We start from the raw sequence: 8451 nt of genomic DNA, 5'->3' as shown, positions 1-8451 counted from the left end.
TGTCGAGAGGCCATGATGGAGAAACTCAAGGCTATTTCCTGATGTTGCCGAGCAAACCAGCCTTTTCTGTCACCAGGTGCACAAGGAAGCAGCAGGCAGGTGGGTGGGTAGCAGAATGCTAACAGGTAACTGCATTTCCCCAGTTCTAAGGCACAATTTTCTTTAAAGAGAACATTTTGACGTTTCTGAAATTCAATGCCCTATAAATCTAAGTTCACATTTATTATTTTTCCTCCAAAGACATTTTTAAAATTTATGCTGTCTTAAAATACATCACATCTTAGGATGGAGATTAGTTTGTAATGACAGAGCTGATGACAGGCTTTATGTTTCTTCAAGTGCTCTCGCTGGCACTATCACAGGTTGAATGTCACTCTCTGTCCTTCCTTGTTCTTGTCCAGCCTGCGTAGGAAAAGCCAGAATAGGAGTGAGCAGGGATGGCCTGAGGTTGTAGGGTACAAAGCACAGGGTACTCGCACCCAAGTTATTGGCCAAGGATGTCCAGGAAGCACAAGATTACCCAAGATTTTGAGTTCCAGTGATGAGGTAGGACCAAGAATATAATCTAAAGTACAAGGTTGGCCATATAGAATATGAAAGTGAGTGAGCCACGAGAGATTTTTAAAGAAAGATGCAAGGGAAGGAAGGTAGGAAGTGAGGGAAAAAGGAAGGAAGGGAGGGAGGGAGGGAAGTAGGAAGGGAAGGGTAACTGCCTTCAGTTGAATTCATGGAGAGGAAGAGAGCTGTTAAGGGGACTAAGATGATATAGTCACAACTACATAAACTTAGACAAAGGAAGGATTTTATACATGAGAAAATTGAATCCTATGAAATAGGGGTAAGCAGTGTGTCCGAGGTTACATGACTAGTAAACAACAGAATTAATCAACTTCAATTTTTCTTCCATGTTCTCCCCTAATGAGAAAAAAAGTGTCCATAATGAAAGGGGTAAAAGAAAGATGCTTAGAAAGAAAATACCACTTCAGATGGTTAAAAAAAATAGTAAGAAAACATCTAGGCTGGGGGTGGTGGCTCAGACCTGTAATCTCAACTCTTTGGGAGGCTGAGGCAGGAGGATGGTTAACCTCAGAAGTTGGAGACTGCCGTGAGCCATGAATGTGCCATGGCACCGTAGCCTGGGCAACAGAGAAAGACCCCATCTCTAAAATTAAAAAAAAAAACAAAAGAAAAGAATCTGAGAGTCCACAAAAACAAATATTCATTTTTTTATGGGTGCAATACTAATCTCATTTTCTTCATAGTGTTAGTATCCTAGCATGTTAAGGGAATTCACGGAACAAAACAAATTTGAAAAAGTTCCTTAAAAACAGGTAGAAATACACAAGTTGAATGAAATACGGTTTGGAAAATTCCTAAGCGATTAAAAACTCATACCCAAAGAGAATAAGCTGTACTGTGAATGAATATTAATAAATCATTGTCCAAAGGAAAGGAACATTTATTTATTTCTCTATTTATTGCTTTTACTGCCATTAAAATTCTTATTAATGATTCAAAACAATAGAAAAAAAAATCCTGGTGGAATTATCTAACATTTTTACCAAGACCATGGTTATTTGGGTTAGTAACGTGTATGACCTTTATTTGTGGGTAAGAGTAACTTGGTTCCTTGTTTATGGAGAACAGTGGTTTGTAGAACATTTTTATTTAAACCTTAAGTCCTCTTAGGTGATGAGAGCAGGGAGTTTCATGCTGCAGATACTACCTTTTACTCTTCCAGCTCTTCTGGTGGTATATTACGGATATTGCTTCATAGTCATAAAATTCTGATGATATTCAAGGTGTCAATCATTCTCCATGTCACAATCAATTATCCCTTCTAGCTAAACATACCGGGTTCTTTCAAGCCATAATATGTTATGGCACTTAGACCTTTAACCTTCTGTCTATCCATGAACATGGCCTAGTTTACTAGTGTTGCCCTTAAGATTTGACAGCTAATTATCAACTCCAATTCTCCAGGTAAGGTGTAATCACTTAAAAGCACAAGATAATGATGACCAGCCTTGATCTAGAAACTCTTCCTCTATTAAAACAGACGGAAATTGTACCATTTCTGTAGTATGGGCTTCATACGTCTGGCACTGACTGAGTTTGTAAGCTGAAGCTCTCCAGTATTTTTCATTTGAACTGCTATTGAAACAAGTGTTCTTCATCTTGTCCCTATTGAATTCCTAGGAATAGAATAAATGGCTAGAAATTAATTTCTGTTGCATTTCACTTCTTAATTTTAGCTTAACACATCAGCTAATTTTTTTTTGGGGGGGACAGAGTCTTTTTCTGTTACCCAGGCTGGAGTGCAGTGGCACAATCTTGGCTCACTGCAAGCTCTGCCTCCCGGGTTCACGCCATTCTCCTGCCTCAGCCTCCTGAGTAGCTGGGACTACAGGTGCCCGCCACCACGCCTGGCTAATTTTTTGTATTTTTAGTAGAGACAGGGTTTCACCATGTTAGCCAGGATGGTCTCGATCTCCTGACCTCGTGATCCACCCGCCTCGGACTCCCAAAGTGCTGGGATTACAGGCGTGAGCCACCGCGCCCGGCCACATTTTTTTAACTTAAATGTATCATTGATGTATTAGTTTAGCACAAGTCATCTTCATTCATTCAACAAAATCTTGAGTACCTAAAATACACTGGGTATGTCATAAGCAATAAATCTTTAAGATATGAGGTTCAAATATTTATAATCCACCATAGAACCAATATATTTTAGAAGAAATAACCAAGGAATTCTAAATAGCTGGAAGCTATTCCATACCTGCGACAGGTTTCTCTGACAGCATCAGTTCATCAGGGAAGGCAATGGAGCTTCCCCTGGCCCTCGGCCAGTTCAGCTCCCAATTCTGCTTGCTTCAGATGTGATTAGATTCACATTTTCTTCACAGTCTAAACAAGCTCTTCATTTCTCTTTACCCCCAGAAATTATATCTTCAAATGTTTTCAGTCCTATAAGATTCCCTGGATTTACATGTCAACTCTCATCCCTTTGATGTTGGTGGCTTGAACTTTTCCCTCTTCCATGAATTCATCACTTCTACATAGGAAACAGTCGGGTATTCATTTGGGGGCACGGTAGCAAGAGTAAATTTCTCAGAATGAGGAGAACTGGTTTTTCCTAAAAACATCTGTGTGAGAGAAAGCCAGTCATGCTACTTCTCCAAGCCTCGGCTTCGTTCTTTGTCAACAGAGTGTCATGATGACAGGCTTAACAGAATCATTGACTCGTCCTGTGTGCTAGGGCGTTACAGTGCACTGGTTTGGGATGCCTCTGTAGAGGACCCTCCTTGTGACAATGAAAATGCTTGGGTTTGCAGATAAGGACAGGTAAGAGAAAGCTTGGTAGAAGAGTTCTGCTGGCTACAATGAAGTTCTGGCTTTAGACTGACTCTGAACCCCGCAAAAATGGTCTGTATACTCAGCTTTGAATCATTAATTTTGAAAACTGTGGCCCCTTTCAGAAAAGTTTTCTTTTGAAGGAGATAGGGCAAGAAAGAAGGAGAGATACTTCAAGTGTGTAGGTGTGTGTGTAATCCACACAGAGAAAAATTATTAAAGTTGAACACACAGTTATACAGAGAACATTTGTATAACCACTGGGAGATCCCTTTTAAAATAGAATTTAGTTTTAGAGTACTTTTATTTATTTATTCATTCATTCATTTAATAGAGATGGGGTCTTGCTCTGTCACCCAGGTCGGAGTACAGTGGCATGATTATGGTTCACCATAACCTTGAACTTTTAGGCCCAAGGATCCTTCTTCCTCAGCCTCCCAAGTAGCTGGAACTACAGGCACATGGCATCATGCCTGGCTTATTTGTTTTTTATTTTTTGTAGAGATGGGGTCTTGCTATGTTGCCCAGACTGGTCTCAAACTCCCAGCCTCAAGCGATCTTTCTACTTTGGCCTTCCAAAGTGTTGGGATTACAGGCATGAGCTACCACACCTACCTTAGAGTAGTTTTAGATTCACAGGAAAATTGAGCATAAGGTACACAGATACCATATCTGTGTACCCCTAATCCCTCACCCCCTAATCCCACAACTTCCTGGATTATCAAAATCTCCCACCAGGTGGCACATTTGTTAAAATCGATGAACCTATATTGACATCATTATCACATGAAGTCCAGCGTGCTCATTAGGGTTCACTCCTGGTGTTGTACATTCTCTTTTTCTTTTTTTTTTTTTTTTTTTTTTTTTGAGACAGAGTCTCACTCTGTTGCCCAGGCTGGAGTGCAGTGATGTGATCTCGGCTCAATGCAACCTCCGCCTCCTGGGTTCAAGTGATTCTCTTGCCTTAGCCTCCCAAGTAGCTGGGATTACAGGTGCCTGCCACAACGCCAGTTAATTTTTGTATTTGTAATAGAGATGGGGTTTCGTCCTGCTGGTCAGGCTGGTCTCGTACTCCTGACCTCAAGTGATCCGGATTTGCCCACCTCGGCCTCCCAAAGTGCTGAGATAACTGGTGTGAGCCACTGCGCCTGGCTGGTGTTGTACATTCTATAGATTTGGATATATGACATGTATCCACCATTATGAGACCTTTTTTAAATTGCTCAAAATGCCCAGACTGAAAGTTCAACACCAAAGAGAGCTCGCTGATTCCAGGATGTCAGCTCACTAGAGCTGGGGACCTAGGTTTTCTGTCCAGCTGATTCCTCTCTTTCAAGCCTGGAAAGTACAAATAACCACTTGTATGCTGGGCAATCCTGCCTTACCCTGGCTCCCAGGGAGGCCAGATGGGAAAGCCTTCCAAAGGACCAGAAGAACAAGAGCTCTTTGGGGCTCTGGCAGGAGATACGTCCCCCTCTGAGAAGGGGGGTCACTGCAGTCACTGTACATTTCAGTCAGGAGTCCAGCTCTGCCATCTGCCTGGCTGGAAAGACCAGCCTGGAAAGAAACTGTGAACTAGGGAAGCTCATCTTTGGGGCTCCTCCCGCTGACTCTTAACACCCCCTACCACTTTCCCCATTAGCCACCTAATTGTCTTCCTAACATATGGACGAGAATTTAGATTCCTCCTGCTACATACCAACCCCAAGTGAATGGGAACTCAAGGTTATCTGGTAAGAGTTTAGAGAGTAGCTGCCAGGGAGCACCCTTTCAGCTTCGAAGGAAGGAAGCTATGAAGTTGGAGCAAAAGGCAAAAGAGAGGAAGATTTCCCTTGGCCCCCTCTCTCTCTGCCCTGCCCCAAAAAAGACTGCAAGGTCATCGTGACGCGCCAAACTTCCAGTCCAGCTGGCCTGCCGTGGGGTGACCAGCCCTCTCCATTCTCTCCTCCAAAACAGGGCACAATTTGAAATTCTGTTCAAGTACGTGGAAACACAACTTCCAAGCAAGTTCATTAAGCAAACAAACAAACAAAAAAACCCAAACTGTGAGTGTGCTGCTGCTCATCACACAGAGACTGCACAAGGTCAAGGATACATTTTGTGAGCACAGAGTTCACAAGACACCTCCCCATAAGTGCCAAACGTGACTCACTGGCATCATCTTTATCAATGACAATTTAATGCCATGCCTTTTTGGAAGAACATTCAGCGTATTACAAAGATTCTGAATTAACGTCTAGAATTATAAAATGCTATGGAGAAAGCCAAGTGTATGTTTCATCTCTAGCTCCTGTGGCTTTCTTAACCAGCATCCCTCTACAGAAGCAAGGACGAATGGGGGAGCCACATTCTCTCTCCTTCCCTTGTTCCCTCTAACTAACTATAGTTGTCCTAAGATGCCAGGGCCTTCTCTCCACTACCACTGGCGAGTCGGAGAGTGTTCAGGTTCAAAGCTCATAGCATTTTGATGGGCATGCCAGCTGGAGCCAGACTATCTGGCTTCCAGTCCCAGCCGAGTTCAACCCTTCGTGTGCCTCAGTTCTCTCAACTGTAAAACAGTAATAACAACACAACATCCCTCATGGAATTAAACACATAAATATCATTATTTCCTGCCATGCCCTCATCAATCTTGTCTTCTCATCACTTGTTGCGGGAAGTCACGGACACCGAACGGAGGGACCAGCTGAAGCCATGGCAGAAGAACATAAACTGTGAAGACTTCATGGACATTTATTAGTTCCCCAAATTAATGTTTTTATAATTTCTTATGCCTGTCTTTACTGCAGTGTCTGAACATAAATTGTGAAGATTTCATGGACATTTATCACTTCCCCAATCAATACTCTTGTGATTTCCTACGCCTGTCTTTAATCTCTTAATCCCGTCATCTTCATAAGCTGAGGATGTATGTTGCCTCAGGACCCTGTGATGATTGAGTCAACTGCACAAATTGTTTAAACAATATGAAATGTGGGCACCTTGAAAAAAGAACAGGATGACACCGATGTTCAGGAACAAGGGAGATAACCTTAAAGTCTGGCTGCCTGCGGGCTGGGCAGGACAGAGCCATATTTCTCTTATTACTGAAAACAGGTAAGAGAAGTATCGCTTAATTATTTCCCCAGTAAGAAATATTAATAATTAACAGCGCTGGGAAAAGAATGCACTCCCGGGGGGGACTCTAAAATGGCTGCCCTAGGAATGTCTGCCTTATGCAGATGTAGATAGTGATGAAACACGCCCTAGTCTCCTGCAGCACCCCCAGGCTTGCTAGGATTAGGAAATTCCATCCTGGCAAATTCTAGTTAGACCAGTTCTCTGCTCTTGAACCCTGACAATGCATGCACAGTGGGACGTGGAAGTTCATTAGTGATTCTAGTTTCGCCCTGACCTCCTGCCTTGTGATCTTTTGTTACCCTTGAAGCATGTGATCTCTGTGACCCACACCCTATTCATACACTCCCTCCCCTTTGAAAATTGCTAATAAAAACATGCTGGTTTTACGGCTCAGGGGGCATCACGGAACCTGCCGACATGTGATGTCTCCCCTGGATACCCAGCTTTAAAATTTCTCTCTTTTGTACTCTGTCCCTTTATTTCTCAGACCGGCCGACACTTAGGGAAATAGAAAAGAACCTACGTGAAATACCATTGAATTATCGGGGGTGGGTTTCCCCGATAATCACTCATCTGAACAGCTCTTATTAAGGCTGCTGTAATATCCCAACGGAAATTTGTTAGGCCTCATCTTATTTGGCCTATCCACAGCACTTGACATAGTTGATTGTCCCTTTTATGGAGCACTGCTTTCCTTGGCTCTCAGAATAACAGTGTATTCTGGTTTTCCTTCTGCCTCACTAGTTGTATCTTGATCTCTTTTTCTTTATGATTCCTCCTCATTTTCTTGCCATCAGCATGCCCCAGAGCTCAGTGCTGGGACTTCTCTTCCAACCTCACTCAACACTCAGTTCATCTTTCTGGTCTTGTGATGTTAAATGCCATCTAAGCCCACCTTTGTATTCCTAGGCTGCACTCTCCCATGGACTGCAGACTAACCCAATGCTTCCCTCAAGTTCTCAAGTTAGATCTGTCATAAGCATCTCAAACTTAATAATATGCAAACCCAAACTCCCATTTCACCTCTTCTCTAAATAGCTTCTTGGGCAATTTCTCCCATTTCAGTAAAAATCAACTCTATTACTCTAGTTGCTCAGGAAAAAGTCCTTGGAAACGTCACTGACTTCTGTCTTCCTCTTGTGTACCACATCCAATCCATCAGCAGATCCTGTGGGATCTACCTTCAAAATGTAACCAGGTACCGACCCCTTCTCACCACTTCCACTGTTAATACCACAAGGCGAGAGCCACAATCACCTCCTGCCTGGATAATTGCAGTAGCCATTTAATTGGCCCCCTTATGTTCACCCTGATGTCCCAGTCTATTTTCAACCCAGCAGCCAGAGGATGCTTTCATTTTATTTTTATTGACAAATAATTGCATCTATTTGTGGGGTACAATGTGATGTTTTAATATATGTAGACATCGTGGAATGATTAAATTGAGCTAATTACCATAACCATCACTAGAGGAGGCTTTTAAAACACGCCATGCCTATGCTCACAATTCTCTGCTGTGCTGCCTGTCCAACTCAGGGTAAAAGCCTATGCCCTCCTAGAGCCCTGCAAGTTCCCACACGAACTTTCTCTCCCAGCTACCTCTGGTCTCATACACCACTCTCCTTCCTCCCCACCCCTCCCCTCCCCCCCTCCTTCCCCCCTTCCCTCCTTCCCCCCTTCCTTCCTTCCTTTCCTTCCTTTTTCTCAAGTATGCGAAGCTGCTCACACCTTGGGGTCTTGGTTTCCTCTGGCTGATTTTGTCCTGGGTTGTTCACTTCCTTCAGGCCCCTGCTCAAATGCCACCTCATCAATGAGGCCTAATTACAGCAATATCTACCACCTGCATCATCTGTTCCCCTCATCTGCTTTCTTTTTCTCCATATGACTCAATACTACCTGATGTTCTACCTGTTTTCTTGTTTATTTGTGCTTTGCCTGGCAACCCCCAGTAAAGCACCATCTCCACAAAGACAG

The 8451-nt window shown here is 43.1% G+C and overlaps 1 annotated feature.

The window, feature by feature from the left end:
* Nucleotides 6432-6960: an enhancer, noted in NCBI's record as "OCT4-NANOG hESC enhancer chr8:9127271-9127799 (GRCh37/hg19 assembly coordinates)". NCBI's record gives its function as "activates a minimal SCP1, AML or CMV promoter by ChIP-STARR-seq in naive and primed H9 embryonic stem cells {active_cell/tissue: H9 hESC(naive and primed)}" and the evidence as "EXISTENCE:reporter gene assay evidence [ECO:0000049][PMID:30033119]".

The sequence above is a fragment of the Homo sapiens genome, chromosome 8, assembly GCF_000001405.40.
Source record: "Homo sapiens chromosome 8, GRCh38.p14 Primary Assembly".
Lineage (NCBI taxonomy): Eukaryota > Metazoa > Chordata > Mammalia > Primates > Hominidae > Homo > Homo sapiens.
The sequence above is the reverse complement of the archived record's forward strand: the minus strand, read 5'-3'. Positions and strand labels throughout refer to the sequence as shown.